Raw genomic sequence first — 22,111 nt, 5'->3', positions numbered from 1 at the left:
GTATTTCTGTGGGATTGGTCGTGATATCCCCTTTATCATTTTTTATTGTGTCTATTTGATTCTTCTCTCTTTCCTTCTTTATTAATCTTGCTAGAGGTCTATCAATTTTGTTGATCTTTTCAAAAAACCAGCTCCTGGATTCATTGATTTTTTGTGTCTCTATCTTCTTCAGTTCTGCTCTAATCTTAGTTATTTCTTGCCTTCTGCTAGCTTTTGAATGTGTTTGCTCTTGCCTCTATAGTTCTTTTAATTGTGATGTTAGGGTGTCGATTTTAGATCTTTCCTGGTTTCTCTTGTGGGCATTTAGTGCTATAAATTTCCCTCTACACACTGCTTTAAATGTGTCCCAGAGATTCTGGTATGTTGTGTCTTTGTTCTCATTGGTTTCAAAGAACATCTTTATTTCTGCCTTCATTTCGTTATGTACCCAGTAGTCATTCAGGAGCAGGTTGTTCAGTTTCCATGTAGTTGAGCGGTTTTGAGTGAGTTTCTTAATCCTGAGTTCTAGTTTGATTGCACTGTGGTCTGAGAGATAGTTTGTTATGATTTCTGTTCTTTTACATTTGCTGAGGAGTGCTTTACTTCCAACTATGTGGTCAATTTTGGAATAAGTGCGATGTGGTGCTGAGAAGAATGTATATTCTGTTTATTTGGGGTGGAGAGTTCTATAGATGTCTATTAGGTCTGTTTGGTGCAGAGCTGGGTTCAAGTCCTTGATATCCTTGTTAACTTTCTGTCTCAGTGATCTGTCTAATGTTGACAGTGGGGTGTTAAAGTCTCCCATTATTATTGTGCGGGAGTCTAAGTCTCTTTGTAGTCTCTAAGGACTTGCTTTATGAATCTGGGTGCTCCTGTACTGGGTGCATATATATTTAGGACAGTTAGTTCTTCTTGTTTAATTGATTCCTTCACCATTATGTAATGGCCTTCTTTGTCTCTTTTGATCTTTGTTGGTTTAAAGTCTGCTTTATCAGAGACTAGGATTGCAACCCCTGATTTTTTTTGTTTTCTATTTGCTTGGTAGATCTTCCTCCATCCCTTTATTTGGAGCCTATGTATGTCTCTGAACATGAGATGCATCTCCTGAATACAGCACACTGATGGGTCTTGACTCTACCCAAGTTGCCAGTCCGTGTCTTTTAATTGGGGCATTTAGCCCATTTACATTTAAGGTTAATATTGTTATGTGTAAATTTGATCTTGTCATTATGATATTAGCTGGTTATTTTGCTTGTTAGTTGATGCAGTTTCTTCCCAGCATCGATGGTCTTTACAATTTGTCATGTTTTTGCAGTGGCTGGTACTGATTGTTCCTTTTCATGTTAGTGCTTCCTTCAGGAGCTCTTGTAAGGCAGGTCTGGTGGTGACAAAATCTCTCAGCATTTGCTTGTCTGTAAAGGATTTTATTTCTCCTTCACTTATGAAGCTTAGTTTGGCTGGATATTAAATTCTGGGTTGAAAATTCTTTTCTTTAAGAATGTTTAATATATTCCTTCCCTTTGGCTGCACCCTTCTCAGGAGCATTTCCCTGAGCTATTTGGGGCCTCCTTGCCTGGTGGGGCCTGAAAGTTGCATTTCTCCCTCTCCACTTTGTGCCTCATGCCAATCATGGAAGCCAACAATGGACAGATGTGTGAGGGTGGTTAGGTACAAGAGCCCCCATTGCTTGTCTCAAGGCAGGAGAGGTTCTGTAGTGCAATTTCCCTCCAGAGCTCCCCATGGGATCAGACCAAATCTTTGCTTAGTTTCTCCCCTTTCCTATCCTGCTCCCTTCACTGTAGTCCAGTTTCTTCTGAGCATGCTCCTTTGGAAAATCACTTGCACAGGAATACTCACCTCAAGCTTATGTATTCCATGCAATCTAAAATAAACATATGTTACTTTGTAATTTTCAAAATATTATTTCTTAAGTATGTTCTCTTAAAAATGCATTTAAATTTTGACAAATTAGAAAATGATCTATTAAAAGCAAGGAAGTTTATAGACAAAGCCAAATTTAGGAGAGTTCAACAAAAATTTTTTGAGTATTTTCTATATGCTGGATATTGTGGGAGTACTCTATATAAATCTAGTTTAAATGCTGTACTCAAACTTAGAGTGAGAGTAAAAAAATGACCAACAATTATAATACAGGATAATACATGAAATATTATAGGCTTCTGCAATATTCTGAAAAGAATACAGAGGAAGGCATAATTAGCTCTGAAAGAGTTAGGGGAAGGTTTCAAAAAGGAGGGTCTAGTCGGTCAGGCTTTTCAGGGTGTAAAGGAATAGAGCAGATGGTGTTGAAGGAGAAAGAACCTCTCAAAACAACAGAATAAACAAAAAGCACTGAGGCATGAGTCAACATGACAGGCAAAGGAAAGTAGAAATAGTTCTGGTGACATAATTTATAATATCTCCAAATGATGGAAGTATCATGCAGCTATTAAAATTGATATCTTAATGTGCATTTAATGACTTTAATATTTGGTGGAAGATCCTAGTGTACAAAATGGAACTTCTGAAGAAAGGCCTTGCTTGCTGTGCTGTGGGAATAGGAAATCTCTGAAGAATTTAAGTGTCAGAGTAGCTGTAATTCAGAGAAATCATTCTGTTGGTAATGTGGGGGGTGAATTTAAGGGGGAACAAGACTGGAAGCAGGAGCAAGATAGTAGCAGTGGAGGTGAAGAGAAAAGAATGGACTGCAAAAACCACCGGACTGCTCTGGTGGTTAAAATAGGCAGAACTTGGCAATTGATTAGAAAAAGTGAGAAGAGGGACCAAGGACCGGGAAGCTTATAGGATCACACCAGGTTTCAGGCTGGAAAGTGGAGCCCAGTTGAGTAGAGTGGGGGTAATGGAGCACTTTAGGACATGATGGATTGGGAAGTTCTTTACATATCTAAGTGGAAAAGTCTTGGAAGCTTTAAGATGTACTAGAGCTCTGTGAGGGTAGGAGATACAGATTTTGTAGTCATCAGCTTACAAATGAATGATTGAAGCCATACTCTCACTTCAGGAGAGAATAACCAGAGGAAGGGCTGAAAATCCTGGAGAACACCAACATTAACAAGGTGAGCTAAACGAATTCAGAGATGGGGTAGAGTGAAAATTAAATGGAAGAGTGTGCTATAGAGATAGCACAATGATTAAGAACTTGGTCTTTGAAGTCAGGTCACCTGAATACTAGTTTCCTTATAGGTAAATAAGAATAAAAACAATATCTATCCACTCATGAAAAGAAAATCCTCAACAAATAAGAAACAGGAGGGAACTTCACCAACATGATAAAAAAAATCTGTGAAAACCCTACAGCTAACATATTTCACATGGTGAAAGACTGAATATTATCCCCCTTAGATTGAGAACAAGATAAAGATGATAATGTTTATCAGTCTATTCAGCACCTACTAAGGTTCTAGTCAGGGCAATTAGGCAATGAATCTATAAAAGGATTCAGATTAGAAAGGAGGAAGTAAAGTTATCTTATTCACAAATGACATGATCTTATACATAGAAAATCTGAAGGAATCCACTTAAGAAAACCCCTAGAATTAATAAATGAGTTCAGAAAGTTCACAAAATAAACATACAAAAATCAATTGTATTTATATACACCGGCAATGAAGACTCGAAAATAAAATTAAGAAAATTATTTCATTCACAACAGCATCAAAAAGAATAAACTATTAGGAACAAATATAACAAAAGCAAGGTGTGTATACTAAGAACTTCAAAACATTGCTGAAAGAAATTAAAGACAAGTAAATGGAAAGGCATCCCACATTTATGGATTAGAAGACTAAATATTATTAACGTGGCAATACTCCCCAAATTCTTACAGGTTCAATCCAATGCCTGTCTAAATCCCAGCTGGCTTTTCTGCAGAAATTGATGAGCTGATCCTAAAATTTATATGGAAATGCAAAAGACAGAGTAACCAAAGCCATCCTGAAAAAGAACAGGATTGAAAGACTTATGCTAATTTCAAAACTTACTACAAAGATAAGGTAATACAGAGAGTATGGTACTAGCATAAGGACAGATGTATTGGTCAATGGAATATAATTGAAAGCCCAGAAATAACCCCTTTCATTTTCAGTCAATTGATTTTTGATGAAGGTGTCAAGAAAATTAAATGGGAAAGAAAATCTATTTTCAACAGATGGTGCTGGGGCAATTGAATATCCATCTGCAAAAAATTAATTTGGGTCCCTACCTAACACCATACACAAAAATTAGCTAAAACAGATCGCAGACCTGAATGTAAGGACTAAAACTATAAACCTCTTAGAAGAAAACATACTAGTAAATCTTTGTGATCTTGGGTTAGGCAAAGATTTCTTAGACACAGCATCCAAAACACAAGTGAGAAAAGAAAAACAACCCAGCAAATTAAACGTAAGCCAAATTACAAATTTTACACATCAAAAGACACGGTCAGGAAAGTGAAAGACAACCTACAAAAGGGAAGAAATAAGTCAGATATCTAATAAGTGACATATCCAGAAGGACTCTTCCAATCCAATATTAAAAGATAATCCAATTTAAAAATGGGCAAAATACTTTGAATAGACACTTCTCTAAAGAAGATATGACCAATAAGCACATTTAAAAATGCTCAACACTATTGTTACTAGCAAAATGCAAATCAAAACCACAATATCACTTCACACCCACTAGATTGACTATAAACAATAAGACAACAATAAGATAACAAGTGTTGGAGAGGATGTGAAAAAATCAAAACTCTCATACATTGCTGGTGGGAATGTAAAATGGTGTAGCCAATTTTTTGGAAAATAGTATGATAATTTCTCAAAATGTTAAATATAGAATTGCCTTAAACCCAGCAATTTCACTTCTAGGTATCTACACCCAAGGGAAATGAAAACATATGTCCAACCAAAATCTTTTAGGTAAATGTCCATAGTAGCACTATTCTCAAGAACCAACAGATGGAGACAAACCCAACGCCTACCAACTGGTGAATGGAGAAAGACATGTAGTATACCTATACAATAAAATACTGTTTACAATAAAAAGGAAGTTCTGATACATGCTCCACAGCATTGATATACCTCAAAAACATAATGCTTCTTGAAAGAGGTCAGACACAAAAGAACACATATTGAAACAGAATCACCTAATACATATACAGAGAAAAATAGATTAGTGGTTGCCTAGGGCTGAGTTGAGAATGATAAGTGACTCAATGGGCACAGGTTTTCTTTCTGGGATGAGGAGAATGTTCTAAAAGTAGATTTTGGTGATGGTTGCACACTTCTATAAACACACTAAATATACTAAAAATAATTGAATTGCACACTTAAAATGGGTGAATTTTATGGTATATAAATTATACCTTAATAAAGCCGTTAATTTTTTAAAAGTTTTAAAATTATAATATTTATCCCTAGCACCAAGATTGTGGTCTCCAAATACCACCTACCACTAAAAAATCCCCAAAACTTCTTGGAGAAATTGCTGATTTCAGGTCTGAGCCAGAAATGCATAAGATAAGCCTAGAACACATTGTCACTCTAGATGGCAAGGACTCTATCAAAGATTGTTAGAATGATATCAACAAGTCTCAAGAGGAAATTTAAAGGGACTCATTCTGACCAAATATAGGATATTTTATACATTGATAAGGATAATAATTGGAATGGATAGAAATACGTCAAATATGCTTAAATTTCTGCATTCATAATAATTATTTTTTAAAAATAAAAGTCATCGCAATCGTAGGATATAAATGAGACAAGACATCATTTTGAAAAAAATATTGAAAAGAAAAATTCAACTATCTGGTCTTTTCTATATAAATTGTACAACTGGGTAAAACAATAATTTATAAAAAGCAGTATCTACAGTATGACAGCCAATAAATAAAGAAGGAATGATATAATAATGCCATTATTTTTCAATTCATAATTGATCAATGGATGCTAACATCACCAAAAGAAGACAGTTAGACATTACATTTCTCCTGATGGAAGAGCCTAGCACAGTTTTTTTTGCCCTGCTCTTCAAATCCAACCTGAATTTGATCAAATCTTTGGATCAAACTATTAATTTATAGTAAATACAGAGAACAGAAGAAAGTGAGGGAAAAGTTAAAGAACTTCATGAGCATACAGTCAGGAAAATCCAAACTCTGAGACATGGCATAGTGAGGATGTATTTAGCGAAATCCAAAATATAGGAAAACAACCTGGTTTCTTCAATAAACAAATTGCAAGGGAGAAAAAGAAGAGATGAAAGGAGAAGCCTGTAGATCAAAAAAAGTTCAAAGACAAGCAATCATAAAGTGGGATTTTATTTGGATCCTGATTCAAGCAAGCAAAAATATATAAAATTAATGGATATTTAGAGATAACAGGATCCAATAACAGGATATTTGATATTAAAGAATAGTTATGCTGAGTGGTTGGCTTAATGATGGTATTATGATTATGTTTTTTTTTTTAGTTTTTTTTTCCCTGGGTGTGGTGCCTCATGCCTGAAATTCCAGCACTTTGGGAGGCCAAGTTGCGGCGGGAGGATTGCTTGAGGCCAGGAGTTTGAGACCAGCCTGAGCACAACAGCAAGACCCCATCTTTACAAAAATAAAAATAAAAAGTTAGTCAGGTGTGGTGTAGTCCTAGCTAGTCGGGAGGCTGAGAAAGGAGAACTGCTTGACCCTGGCAGGAGATTGATGCTGCAGTGACCTATGATCACGCCATTGCACTCCAACCTGGGTGACAGAGTTAGACCCTGTCTTAAAAAGAAAAAAGTAGAGTTCTTTCTATTACATATGCATATCAAAATATTTAAAGATGAAATTATATGATGTCTGAGATTTGCTTCAAAATAACAAGGGAGGAGGAGAAGTGGGTGGAAGCATACATTAAACAAGATTGGCCATGAATCAATAAATGTTGAATCTGGTGATGAGTATGTGAAAACTTATCACACTAGTGTCTTGTTTAAAGTGCTCCATAGCAGAAAGTTTTTCTAAAAATCAACTTCATGCATTTGTAGTTAGTAGTAAATAAGACCATGTATATAGAGTGCTTTATCACTATGGCTGACAGATAGCACTCAAACATTGTTTTTAGCTTTTTATAGTCCCTTTCAATTAATCACACCCCAAGGAGGTATATTATTTAGATGAAGGGCCCTGTCCCATGTACCTTTGTCTTCCTCATAGTAATGTATTGAAATTCCAAGTTTAGAAGGAGGAAATGCCAGTCTTCGGAGTCCCAAACCTATCATGCAGCAGCAGAGCCGACGATCCCAAATGCTTCCCTAACACTCCTAGTAAATAGGACCACTTTCTTCTCACCTCGTAGGAATACTTGGGATCATTCCTTCTTTTATTCATTATTTTTCATTCACTTACTATGTGCCAGATATTCGATGCTGGGATACAAATATTAATACACTAGACTCTAAATTAACTGAAAGCATCCAAAGGTGAATATTCCTGAGGGTCAAACAAATTCAAGAAACAGTGCTAACGATCAATGGCCTCAATCATCACTAAGTCCCTCCTAACAGCCAGCTTTACTGAGCATATAAAAATGAGTGGAGATATGGAACTTGTTCGCACAAAGTTTAAAACCCGGTAGGGTACATGAGACAAGAACCCAAATAAACAACAACAGGAAGCTGAATGTGATTAAATGGTCCCAAAATGATTTGGTTACCAAGGTGGAGAAAGTATGTTTGACAGGTGTTAAGTAGTCAGGTTTGGCTGAAGCATTTAACAGGTATTTGGTGAGAGGTGGAAACTAAGGCTGGGAAGGTGCAGTAGGTCCACATGTGGAGAAGGTCAGGTTAAGGCATGTGAATGTCATCAGGTAGCAACAGAGAGCTGCTTAACGTTGCAGAGCAAGGAATAACATTCTTAGGACTGACTGTGGAAGGGGTCTCTAGCAGCAAGTGGCAGAGCCCATAGACCACTCATGGAAGACCAATCCAAGCCTGGCACCACAACGTCAAGTTCATAGCATATAACCATATACATGTTAACAAGTTTAGTGACTAATAGATTTACAAGACCTGAGATGGAATTGAGTTTTTGGAGATCCAGCTTCAGAGGTTAGCCTAACCTATTCCGCACATATAGACTGGGCCTGAACTATTTCCAAGAAAGCTGCCTGCTATTTTAGAGTGGGGCTCAGCAAACCTTTTCCATAAAGAACCAGAGAGTAAATGTTTTAGGTTTTGCAGACCATATATTCTTTTGCAACTACTCAACTTGCTGAAGCAACAATAGACAATACATAAATGGAGCATGGCTGTATTCTAATAAAACAGGACTTGGCTGTAGTTCGCTAACCCCAAGTGTAGAGTTGGTAGTCTATTCCCAGAACCAAAGTGACCCATCCAGATACAAGTCAGCTCCAACTTCTGCCAGAGACCCAAGCCTCATCTGTCAAAGAGTAAGAAGGCTCCTTTAGATGTATGCCCTGAGGATCCACCCACCCACTGGAAGCCTGGTGAGACTAATTCTCCATCAAGCTTTGTGAAAGCTAAACCCTGGTGTTAACCTGCTCATAACTGCAAAGTTTGATGCATGTTATAGCAGAAAGGTATGGATGCCATAGTGATGTACAATGAAGTGACCTGGTTTAGTCTGAGAGGACATGGTTTATTGCTTTGGCACAGTGCCTAGCAGAGTAAGGATTTACATGTAATTGAGTAAGGAGTAAGGACAAAATTTCAAGAAAATTCTCACAAATTTAATGCAATTTATTTACTGAATAGAGGAATGTGAAATGTACAGGGAGTATTAGTAAGCAATGACAGTTTAGAAGCAAATGATTTGATTGGAAGTGATTTTAGAAGAAATCCAAAGCCCTTGCTCATAACCTTTCAGGTACCTCTTTGGAATTCTGATAACAAAAAATGTTGCAGACAGTCAAAATGGGACCCATGAAAAGCCGTGTAGCCCCAGTCAATGATCAATGTCCCCAGAACTGAGGGCCTTTACCTCTAATGCCTGCGTAGAGTTAGATTGTTTTGAGCCCTTAAACTAGTATCTGTTTTCCAGGAGATGCCTAATAGGAGAAATATCTAAAGCAAGACAAATCCAAGATGTTTGAATATTTGAAAATCAAATCAACACTGTAAATCAGCAATAATATCCCAGCAAAAATTTATCTTGATTTTCCTATGAGTGAGTAAGCTAAGATTCTTTTTGTTATAAACAGAAACATGGGAATGGAGACAAATAACTGTTTTTGCAAAAAGCATATTCTTTCCATCTAGTTCTGCAACTGAGAGAAAAAGTAATAAGAAAGCATATGGAACAAGTGTTGAAACCCAGAAGAAGAAAAATATTTTTAAAATAGCATTTATTTTTTTTTCACTAACAGAGAATAAAAATAATCTCTGTACCATCTATAACAAAGAGAAATTGTGAGTATAAAGGTAAAAAAAAAGACGTTTCAATATTTGCAGAGAAATTTCAGACTTTAGTATGCCATTTTAAGGATATAGGCTTTGGAGTCGAGTAAAATAAAGTACATTGGATGAAAAGTTTTGGGAAAAATTTTCACAGATACACCCCCACACTCATTAACAAAAAGGAGAAAAATAAAACCTGGAAAAAAGCAAAGAAATTCCCCCAAATGTCTGAGACTGTCTATCTTTTTTCTGTTCTTTCTTTTAGAGAAATTCAAATGTTGGATGGTAATGGAGCCAATCACAAATGGGAGACATTTTTTGTAGCTATTCACCTGCTTTCCAAAATGTGCTTAAAATTTAAAGACTTTTTCAGATCTACTTTTCAATACATGCTTTTAATAACTTAATTTTTAGTTCTTTACTGTACACTTACCTGCAAGATAGATTACTTAGTGTTGCTATGTGTATTCGTTCATTTTTACACTGCTGATAAAGACATACCTGAGACTGGAAAAAAAGAAGGTTTAATTTGACTTACAGTTCCACATGGCTGGGGAGGTCTCATAATCATGGTGGAGGGCAAAAGGCACTTCTTACATGGCGGCAGCAAGAAAGAATGAGGAAGAAGCAAAAGCAGAAACCCAGATAAACCCATCAGATCTCATGAGAATTAGTCACTGGACTAGCAAGAGAAAGACCAGCCCCCATGATTCAATTACCTCCCCCTGGGTCCCACGTGTTGTGGGAATTCTGGGAGATACAATTCAAGTGGAAATGTGGGCAGGGACACAGGCAAACCATATCATCCTGCCCCTGGCCCCTCCAAACCCATGTCCTCACATTTCAAAACCAATCATGCCTTCCCCACAGTTCCTCAAAGTCTTAACTCATTTCAGCATTAACCCAAAAGTCCACAGTCCAAAGTTTCATCTGAGAAAAGGCAAGTCTCTTCTGCCTATGAGCCTGTAAAATCAAAAGCAAGCTCTACTTCCTAGATACAATGGGGGTACAGGTATTTGGTAAATACAGATGTTCCAAATGGAAGTAATTGGCCAAAACAAAGGGATAACAGGACCCAGGCAAGTCTGAAATCCAGCTGGGCAGTCAAATTTTAAAGCTCTAAAATGATCTCCTTTGACTCCAGGTCTCACACCCAGGTCACACTGATGCAAGAGGTGAGTTCCCATGGCCTTGGGCAGCTCCACTCCTGCGGTTTCACAGGGTACAGCCTCCCTTCTGGCTGCTTTCATGAGCTGGCGTTGAGTGTCTGTGACTTTTCCAGGTGCATGGTACAAGCTGTTGGTGGATCTACCATTCTAGGGTCTGGAGGATGGTGACCCTCTTCTCACAGCTCCACTAGATGGTGCCCCAGTAGGGACTCTATGTGGAGGCTCCAACCCCATATTTCTCTTCTGCACTGCCCTAGCAGAGGTTCTTCATGAGGGCCCCATACCTGCAGCAAACTTTTGCCTGGGCATCCAGGCATTGCCATACATTTTCTGAAATCTAGGCAGAGGTTCCCAAACCTCAGTTCTTAACTTCTGTGTACCCGCAGGCTCAACACGACATGGAAGCTGCCAAGGCTTGGGGCTTCCACCCTCTGAAGCCACAGCCTGAGCTTTATGTTGGCCCCTTTCAGCCACGGCTGGAGCAGCTGAAACACCGGGCACCAAATCTCTAGGCTGCACACACCACAGGGACCCTGTGCCTAGCCCGGGAAACCATATTTTCCTCCTAGGCCTCTGGGTCTGTGATGGGAGGGCCTGCCATGAAGGTCTCTGACATGGCATGGAGACATTTTCCCCATGGTCTTGGGGATTAACATTAGGCTCCTTGCTACTTATGTAAATTTCTGCAGCTGGCTTGAATTTCACTTCAAAAAAATGGGTTTTTCTTTTCTACTGAATCGTCAGGCTGCAAATCTTCTGAACTATTATGCTCTGTTTCCCTTTTAAAATGGAATGCTTTGTTCGTTTGTTTGTTTTGTTTGAGATGCAGTGTCGCTCTGTCGCCCAGGCTGGAATACAGTGGCTCAATCTGGGCTCACTGCAACCTCTGCCTCATGGGTTCAAGCGATTCTCTTGCCTCAGCCTCCTGAGTAGCTGGGACTACAGGTGCACCCCACCACACCTGGCTAAATTTTTTTGTATTTTTAGTAGAACCGGGGTTTCACCATGTTGGTCAGGCTGGTCTCGATCTCCTGACCTGATGATCCTCCCGCCTTGGCCTCCCAAAGTGCTGGGATTACAGGTGTAAGCCACAGCGCCTGGCCAGAATGCTTTTAACAGCACCTATGTCACATTTAAATGCTTTGCTGCTTAGAAATTTCTTCCTCCAGTTACCCTAAATAGTATCTCTCAAGTTCAAAGTTCCGCAAATCTCTAGGGCAGGGGCAAAATGTCACCAGTCTCTTCGCTAAAATATAACCAGAGTCACCTTTACTCCAGTTCCCAATGAGTTCCTCATCTCCATCTAAGACCAGCTCAACCTGGATCTTATTGTTCATATCATCAGTGTTTTGGTGAAAGCCATTCAACAAGTCTCCAGGAAATTCCAAACTTTCCTACATTTTCCTTTCTTCTTCTGAGCCCTCCAAACTGTTTCAACTTCTGGCTGTTACCAAGTTCCAAAGTCGCTTCCACATTTTCAGGTATCTTTTCAGCAATGTCCCACTCTACTGGTACCAATTTGCTGTATTAGTCTGTTTTCAAGCTGTTGATAGAGACATACCCTAGACTGGGAAGAAAAAGAGGTTTAATTGGACTTACAGTTCCACATGGTTGGGGGAGGCATCAGAATCATGGCAGGAGGTGTAAGGCATTTCATACATGGTGGCAGTAGGAGAGAATGAGGAAGAAGCAAAAGTGGAAACCCTTGATAAACCCATCAGATCTCATGAGACTTATTCACTGTCACAAGAATAGCATGGAAAGACCAGGCCCGGTGATTCAATTACCTACCCCTGGGTCCCTCCCACAACACGTGGGACTTCTGGGAGATACAATTCCAGTTGAAATTTGTGCAGGGACACAGCCAAACCATATCACTGTGATATTTTAATGATATGATGTACATAAAGCATGAAATATGTGTAAAGTATAAAATGCCTCACCATCATCATGTATAGGAATAAAATGATATGAAAAGAGAGATAATCCTCTTTAACAGACATGAAAAGTTTAAGCTGCTAGAAGAAGGGTCAACAGTAGGATGTGATAAGCCCAAGAGAGGTTATTTTGATAAGTTTTCTGCAAACGGGAAAGATCCTTCACTGACATAAAGTTCAATGATACTCTTTTCCCTCTTTTGTGAAGCAGTTTATAGCAGATTTCCACCCTTCTCATTTTTCCACACCCTTTCTAGGGAGCAATGTTCTTTAATCAGCAGCTGCCACAATCTAACTGGTTTTCATATTGAGCTCCAGACACAGCCTGTACCACCTTGCCAGAATCTGCAGGAAATTTCCAGGCCTGTCAGGACACAGCAGATCCTTTCTAGGTCATTTTGGCAGTTCTTGGCCCAAGCTGCATGCCAGTTAGTCTGCAGGCTGCTCTTTCTTTTCAGTCATTGGAACCATGCTCCCATTTCAGGGATCTCTCAGAAACCCTGTGACTGGAAAACCAAATGAGGAAAATGCTCAATGTTTGTTATCAATCTGGATCTCAAATGTGCTTGGCATAATCTACCTGAATCCTTAGAATATTATTTTCAGGGTAGGAAATACAAATGTGAATATTTTACAAGATAGAGAAGTAACTAGTTTCATGCTGTGATTTAGAAGGGGAAATTATAAGGGATTACTGAAATAAAACCAGGTTTATTGATTCCAGAGGCTGCATTAGCACTATACATTTCTATTCTCTCAAACTTGCTGAAACTGGTCTGCATATTTCATCTTGTAATACCAAAAATTTAAATGCATTGTTCTAGGATGTTTGTATTATTGGTTTAATTCAAGTTGCAAACTGCAAATGGGACTATATTTCTAACACTGCTATAATGAAGTGAAGAGGACTGAATTGTTGGAGCAGATGTGGGAGATATTCAAAGATTTGGGTCCCTGAGGCAGGACTTTAAAGAGATGCTGAAATTTCTAATGCACTGGGGAAAATGTTCCTAGAGTCACTTTACAGGGCAGCCTTGCATCAGCAGTTCATCCCTGGGAGGCTCTTTATGAGAGGACACCTCTGTCCAACATAATGTGGATTTCCCCTCAAGCAAATTTGATCTGGAGGAAAATCCCCCAGATTAGCGAGCACATTCATTTCAGATCATTCATCTTACACCAGGTGAAACCACTACCAATACTATTGTGCTGTGTGTGCAAACTACTTCTTAGGTAAAAATGCTGGCAAAAATATTAAGGTGTGCAAAGAGGTTGACACCTCAAGACAAATGTTTCACTCTATCATGCGCCCAACTTTAAAGAGAAACACTCTTTTTCCAACTCCATTTCCTCCTACTAAGAATGAACTTTCTCAGCCGGGCACGGTGGCTCACACCTGTAATCCCAGAACTTTGGGAGGCTGAGGCGGGCGGATCACGAGGTCAAGAGATCGAGACCATCCTGGTCAACATGGTGAAACCCCGTCTCTACTAAAAAAATACAAAAATTAGCTGGGTGTGGTGGCAAGCAACTGTAGTCCCAGCTGCTCAGGAGGCTGAGGCAGGAGAATCACTTGAATCCAGGAGGCAGAGGTTGCAGTGAGCAGAGATCACACCACTGCACTCCAGCCTGGTGACAGAGTGAGACTCTGTCAAAAAACAACAAAAAACAGAACTTTCTCCAGGCCCTCAACCCTCAGCAGGGACCACAACAAAAGCTCATGCCAGCAGATGCTGAGCAGGATGACTTCCTGATTCTGACACTCAGGGAGAAGAGAGAACCCCTGGAAATGTCCCTCACCCTGAAGAGTGGTGCTGTCACGGTGTCGTTCTGGCTCTTTCCACTACCTACCTCCATTAGCAATTTCTTCTTTTAAAGAAGGGCATATGTCTCTTACATCCTGAAGTTAACAATGACCCCCTTCCCTGGAGGGAAATAACCTCCCAGGGTGGCAAACCTGAGAGGTTATGATTCAAAATATGAATATATGATTCAAAATATTCGTGGATCTGGTCAAAGTAATAGGGACCAGATATATTCTCTGCCTGAAACAACAGCAAAATACATTAATCAACAGGTGATCTCTGAGGGATGGGAAACAAACAAGATAAGCCCTACAACTGCCCCAGCTAACAGCCTTGAGAGAGTTTCTAGGCTGCGGTGCCGGGAGGCAGAACTGAGGTGGGTTCCCTAACATGAGGAGATGAAGCTTGGTCCTGGAAGACCTGGGCAGTGAGAGTTCACAGGGGAGAGTTCCAGAGAGGAGAGAGCTGCACAGACAGCCAACTCCAGAGATCTGCAGAGGGACTCTGATGGGAATCAGCACATGAGTGAGGAAGCTACCCAGGAAAGAATCATCAAAAGAGGGAACAGAGACGGTGCTGATGCTGGCCTGGAAAAAATGCCTGCTCCCACCAAGCAGACAGGAAAAACATAATGCTCAAGGCAGTGGGCAAAGTTCTCAGGAATATTTTGCCTCACAAGTGAAGAATAATTAACCTTAGACTGGGCTCTGTTTCAGAAATGCCTAAAAATCACAAGAGTAAGACCTGAAAACAGCGAAATGTTTCAAGTAACTTAACTGTATAGTAAAACAAAGCTCAAGAAAATCTATGGAAATACAAAAATTTTCATTGCCCAACAATATCTGTCATGTAATAAAAGACTACCAGGCAGGCAAAGAGGCAAGAACACATAACTCATAATGCAGAGAAGAATCACTCAATTAAAATCCACCTAGAACTGACGCAGATGTTAGAATTAGCAGAGAAGGATATTGAAAGAGTTCTTATTTACCAAAAACTTGTAGAAAAATGTTCCTTGCAGCTTTATTCATGATTGCTAAAAACCAAAAACAATCTATGTGTTTATACATTTGAACAAAGAGAACTACTTAGTGATAAAAAAAGATTTTCAAAGAAGCACGTCAACATTCATGAATCTCAAAAACATCATGCTAAGTGAAGAAAGCAAAACATAAAAAATTACATATCATATGATTCCACTTATTTGAGATTCTTGAGCAGATAAAACTGTTTTGTGATGGTAGAAATCAGATCAGTGGTTACTTTTGGAGTGAAGGAATCTGTTGAGAAATAATGCAAGGAAACTTTTAGGTAAGGAAATAGTTTCTAAATTGGTAGATGTGTGAGTTACAGGGAAGTAGGCATGGTAAAAATTGATCATACTATACAAACTGGGCATTTCATTCGATAAAAATTTTAAATTTTCACAGTTCAATAGAAAAATAGGCACTTTATGTAGTGCAAATTAAATAACCAATAATAAAGAAAAATATGTTCAGCATCATTAGAATTCAGGAAAATAATTAACTAGAACCACAGTGAGACTCCATTTTGCACCCACCAACTTGGTGATATTTTAAAATTTGACACCATTTGATCGCACACTCTGCTGATCCAATATATATTGGAGCAACTGCTTTGGGAAACATTTGGCTTACTTAGTAATAAAGAAATCCATTCCCTGTTCCCTGAAATGTCACTCCTTGAAATATTTCTTAAAAAAAGTCTTAAGCCTTAAAGACTTGTAGATCTTGTTCATAACAGCAGTGTTTGTGACAACAAAAATTTGAAAACCTGAAGATTTACTTATAGAATTGTAAGCCAAGTGTAAAATTCTAAGCCTCCCAATAAGCTGAATGGACCCTTCTTCCTGGGCAAGGGCATTCTAAAGTAAACCTGAAATACTAGCTCAGGCCATGATGGGAATGGGTGGTTGGACATGCTTCATTATACCTTTCTCTCTTTGAAATTCAGGCACAGCTGACTAATATTAATATTAGTCATTAACATTAACATGAACATTAACACAGAGACCTTAAAACTGACAAAACAGACTCCCTGTAGCAATAAGATACCAGCATGACAGACAGCAGGCCCTAAAAAAATCAAGCATCTTTTCACGCAAAATGTATTTCTTTGACATATTTTGAAATGGCCCTGCAAAGCTTTCTCTTGTGGGGAAGATCTACATTCTGTAGGGTATTCTCTTCCCTTTCCAGGTTTTTTTTTTCCGTTTCAGGAGAGAATTAACTAAGAGTCTGACACCCTTTAAGCCTGATAAGAAACATTTACAATCTATTCTTTCTATGTCCTGCTACCGAAGGCTTCATCTGCATAAGAACCTTGGTTTCCACAGCTCCTTATCTCAACCCAGCCACTCTCTTCAACTGATTCCAGGTCTTTAGTGAAACTCTTTCAACCAATTGCCAATCAGAACATCTTTGAATCCACCTATGACCTGGAGGCCCCACCCCCCACCCAGCTTCAAGGTGTCCTGCCTTTCTGGCCAAACGAATGCACATCTTAATGTATTGATTGATATCTTAGGTCTCCCTAAAATGTATAAAATCAAGCTCAAGCTACAGCCTGACCAACTTGGGCACATGTTCTCAGGATCTCCTGGGGCTGTGTCACTCATGGGTCATGGTTCTTGTATTTGGCTCTTCAATATTTTACAGAGTTTGACCCTTTTAGTCAGCAATAATTATGGATAAATAGTGATATAGTCAAACATGGGTTGAATACATTCATAAGGAAGTAGGATTTAACAAATTTCAGCTACATAAATACATACATGAATCTCAAGGGTATAAAGCTGAGTGGGAAAACTAAGTTTCCAAAGTGTGATTTCATCTGTATGTGTCTCAAAAACATGCATAAAAAAACTGTATAATGTTTAGAGGCACAAATACGTGTAAACAATAAAGACAAGAAAGAAAATAACACAATCATAAACATGGAGTTTGAGAAGGGAATAGAATTGGGGAAGGACATAATACAAAGGTGTCCACTCTATTGTATTCTTTAATGTAGTCTAATAGGTGTCCACTCAATTGTATTCTTTAATATAGTCTTTAATATTTATATATAGTCTACTGAAGTTATTTTTTGTCCACTTAATATTTTATATGGTTTGGCTGGGTCCTCACCCAAATCTCACGTTGAATTGTAGTTCCCATAATCCTCATGTGTTATAGGAGCGCCCTGGTGGGAGGTAATTGAATCATGGGGATGGTTACCCTCATGCTGTCTTTGTAATAGTGAGTTCTCACAAGATGTGATGGTTTCATAAGGGCTTTTTCCCCGTTTGCACAGCACTTCTCTCTCCTGTGAAGAAGAATGTGTTTACTTCCCCTTCTGCCATGCTTGTAAGTTTCCTGAGGCTTTCTCAGCCAAGTGGAACTATGAGTCAATTAAAACTCTTGCCTGTTTAAATTACCTAGTGTCAGGTATTTCTTCATAGTAGCATGAGAAGGAAATAGTACAATAAATTGGTACCACATAGAGTGGGGCACTGCTGTAAAGATACCTGAAAATGTGGAAGTGACTTTGGAACTGGGTAACAGGAGAGGTTGGAACAGTTTAGAGGGCTCAGAAGAAGATAGAAAAATGTGGGATGATTTGGAAGTTCCTAGAGACTTGGAGGGCTCAGAAGACAGAAAGATGTGGGGAAGTTTGGAACTTCCTAGAGACATGTCGAATGATTTTGGCCAAAATGCTGATAGTAATATGGGCAATGAAGTCCAGGCTAAGGTGGTGTGAAGTAAAGAACTTGTTGGGAAGTGGACTAAAGGTCACTCTTGCTATGCAAGAATGAAGGCCTTGTTTGGAACTGGAGTAAAGGCTACTCTTGCTATGCAAAGAGACTGGCAGCAGTTTGCCCCTGTTCTAGAGATCTGTAGAACTTTGAACTTGAGAGAGATGATTTAGAATATCTGGCAGAAGAAATTTCTAAGCAGCAAAGCATTCAAGAGGAAGTGGAACATAAAAGGCTGGAAAATTTACAGCCTGATGATGCAGTAGAAAAGAAAAACCCATTTTCTAGGGAGAAATTGAAGCCAGCTGTAGAAATTTGCATAAGTAATGAGGAATCAAATGTTAATCACGAAGACAATGGGGGAAATGCCTCCAGGGCATGTTAGAGAACTTCATGGCAGCCCCTCCAATCCTGGAGGCCTAGGAGGGAAAAGTGATTTTGTGGGCCAGGCACAGGGCCCCCCTGCTCTATGTAGCCTCAGGACATGGTGCCCTTTGTCCCAGCTGTTTCAGCTCAAGATATAGCTGAAAGGGAGCAACATACAGTTTAGGACATTGCTTGAGAGGGTGCAAACTCCAAGCCTTGGTGGCTTACATGTGGTCTTGGGGCTGTGGGTGCACAGAAGTTGATAATTGATGTTTGGAAACCTCCACCTGTATTTCAGAGGATGTATGCAAATGCCTGGATGTCCAGGCAGAAGTCTGCTGCAGGGGTGGAGCCCTCACGCTGAACCTCTGCCAGGGTAGTGTGGAAGGGAAATGCAGGGTTGGAGCCCCCACACAGAGTCACCACTGGAGCACTGCCTAGTGGAGCTGTGAGAAGAGGGCCACCATCCTCCAGACCCCAGAATGGTAGATCCACTGACAGCTTGCACAGTGTGCCTGGAAAAGCCACAGACACCCAATGCCAACATGTGAAAGCAGCCAGGAGGGGGCTGCACCCTGCAAAATCACAGGGTTGGAGCTGGCCAAGGCCATTGGAACCCACCTCTTGCATCAGCATGCCATGGATGTGAGACCTGGCATCAAAGGAGATCATTTTGGAACTTCAAGTTTTAATGACTGCCCTATTGGATTTTGGGCTTGCATGTGGCCTATAGCCACTTTGTTTCGGCCAGTTTCTCCCATTTGGAATGATTATATTTACCCAATGCCTGTATCCCCACTATATCTAGGAAGTAACTAACTTGCTTTTGATTTTACAGGCTCATAGGTAGAAGGGACTTGCCTTGTCTCAGATGAGACTTTGGACTTGGGTTAATTCTGGAATGAGCTAAGACTTTGGGGGACTGTTGGAAAGGCATGACTGGTTTTCAAATGTGAGGACATGAGATTTGGGAGGGACCAGCTGTGGGATGATATTGTTTGTGTCCTTAGTCAAATCTCACCCTGACTTTTAGTTCCCATAATCCACATGTGTCATAGGAGAGATCCAGTGAAAGGTGATTGAATCATGGGAGCAGTTACTATAATGCTATTCTCATGATAGTGAGTAAGTTCTCTGAGATCTGAAGGTTTTATAAAGGGTTTTTCCCCCTTTGCTCAGCACTTCTCTCTCCTGCCACCTTGTGAAGAAGGATGTTTTTGCTTCCCCTTCTGCCATGATTGTAAGTTTCCTGAGGTCTCCTCAGCCATGCAGTGCTGTGAGTCAATTAAACGAATTTCCTTTATTAATTATCCAGTCTCTGGTACTTCTTTGTAGAAGCATGAGAAGGAACTAACAATATTTAACACAAAATTTACTAAAAATGTGTACCAAAAGGAATATAGAAGCGTTGACCAAAGAATGTGAGATAGAATGCTGCATATGTAACTTTTTATTATCAATGACAACCTCAAAATCTTTATAAAACTTAATTACAAATCTGCCAAATTCTTAATGTAGAAATTTCCCATTTAGAATTATAAGATCACCTTGTAATAAAGGCAGAACTGGAGGGCTGTTAGTGAATAATATTGTTTATAAAACAATGCACCCAGATAAATGTCAAGGTATTATAAAAAGTATTGTTTATTATCAGCTCATAATTAATTGAATGCCCTGTGGAGGCAAGCCAATGTAGTATAAAGGTTTTTTGACATTTCTATAAAGATGTTCATTTGATCTGCTGTTTCACAACATTCTGCTATTCTACTGGGTTATGTGCAAGTAGAATTCATCTTTCCTGCATAACCTTTCAAAGTCATCAGAATTAAATAGGGAATGACTTCGGAGGGACAGAAAGCAGCATATAAAGTCCCATTTTAAAACACTTACTATTCAAATTCAAAACCTTATTCCTTTCTTTCTGAGTACTAATGTATGCTCAGTTCATTCATGTATACAAACATGCAAGAGATATCTGGAACTGTATCTGAATCTGAATAATAGGTTGCTTGTGAAGGGAAACAAGTTCTATTCTGACCTTTTAGCCTTGCCCAATACCAAAATCTTCATGTGGAGAGCTACCTAGATTCAGGATCCCACAGCCTGACTGACTTGCCAAGTATTGGCCCAAAAGAAAGAGAAAAACTGTACAGTGTGGTCTGGTTTGCCTAACACTGCTCCAGGGACACCCCTAGCCCTGCAAGCCTGGGAGAATAGCTGCCTGCACTCTGAGCTGCTGAGCAAGGGTGGGTAGATTTTGGGAGGAGAAATGTGACCTGTCTTATGAAATTAGTTCACATTTCTGCCCTAAATTTTGCCTGTTCAATAGATTTTTTATTTTTTTTCTATAATTCAAAAGCAATTAACATGAAGGCTGCGTTCAGAGACATAGAGGCTATTTAAATACATTATTTACTCTGTTACTAACAGGGATTCTACTGCCTCCCCTATCTTCACATAAGTCCAGAGATGTTCTCCCTAGATGTGTAATGAAGCCCCTTCACTTCCTTCTGATCCTGTCATCTCAAGAAGGAAACAAATCAGATGGCCAAGACAGGAATTAAAAACAGAGCTATGGGCCAAGGCTGTTCCCCCATGAGAACAATAAATGCTTGCTGCTCTCAGGTACATTTGGAAACCTCCTTCTCTTTGCTCTGCACACACTACTAATATCCCAAAGATTTTTGAAACCATTGAAGCTTTAACTCCTAAATCCTAAAAATCGCAGCCTGGTTAAGTGCTGGGCATACAACATATAATGGTTCCAAGCTATTCTGAAAAAATCTCTGAGCATAGGCAGCATGTAAGGAACGATCCCTCAGAACAGGTCAGAAAGGTCTAGAAACCAAGTCACTTAAGACAATATCACCAACATAGAAACATTTAAAGAGGGGAAACTTGTTTCTACTGAGAAATTAAATGTAAAATTAAAGGATTATCCCTTTCCAAAAATCTACTTTTGTATAATTACTATCAAATGTATTAAGGAGACAATAACTTAGGTAAACATAAAACAGGCCAACAGGCAATCTTCTGTATAACCTTCCAGGAGACACTGTTAAACACCACAGGGGTGCAATGCTGTATTCCTCCCAGTAAGCAAGGATTATTGCTAAGTGCCATTAAATTGCACAAAATATCAAAATACAGTGAGGAACCCATAACCCATAATGTCCCAGGATCTCTGTATCTGAAGAAATTTGCTGCTTCATTTATTGTTTGTGTTATGAGCAAAACAAAAGGCCCTGCATGATCAAAACAAAAAGATGACAAAGAGGAAAACAGTTCAGTGTTATGCCTGACCAACTGGCCCCAGACCAATTGCCTGAAATGCAAAGTCTGAAAGTTTACATATTGCATGTACAGCTGTGGCTTACAGTGAAACAAAACTCCCAACTCTTGGCACAAAGTTTAGCTATTTGTGGAGTGTAGAGTAAAGCTTTATTTGAAGCTTATCTTATGAGTGCATTTATCAGTTTCCATTGAAATAGTGAGTTGCAAGCAGAGTATTGTCTGACCACACAGTCAGCATTAAGTATGTTTGTCCTAGTTTAAGAGTAGAAAATCTTTTAAATGATTCTAGAAGCTTCATCACAGAAACAAAAATAATTTTTCATTGAAATTCTAGGGCACACAGTAAGAAAATGACACAATATAGTGACTTAAAAGTCAGGCTGCATTTTTACATATAGCCCC

General features: G+C 39.2%; 1 long non-coding RNA gene across 1 annotated transcript in view; it reads left to right on the top strand.

The window, feature by feature from the left end:
• Positions 1-22,111, top strand: part of LINC02386 (long intergenic non-protein coding RNA 2386) — a 65,929-nt gene that overhangs the window by 5,243 nt on the left and 38,575 nt on the right. Inside the window, exon 2 of the long non-coding RNA NR_183469.1 lies at positions 3,002-3,056. This is a non-coding gene — a long non-coding RNA (long intergenic non-protein coding RNA 2386). The remainder of the gene's footprint in view (positions 1-3,001; positions 3,057-22,111) is intronic.

The sequence above is a fragment of the Homo sapiens genome, chromosome 12 (genome assembly GCF_000001405.40).
Source record: "Homo sapiens chromosome 12, GRCh38.p14 Primary Assembly".
In the NCBI taxonomy this organism is placed as follows: Eukaryota; Metazoa; Chordata; class Mammalia; order Primates; family Hominidae; genus Homo; species Homo sapiens.
This window is presented reverse-complemented; position numbering and strand designations above follow the sequence as displayed.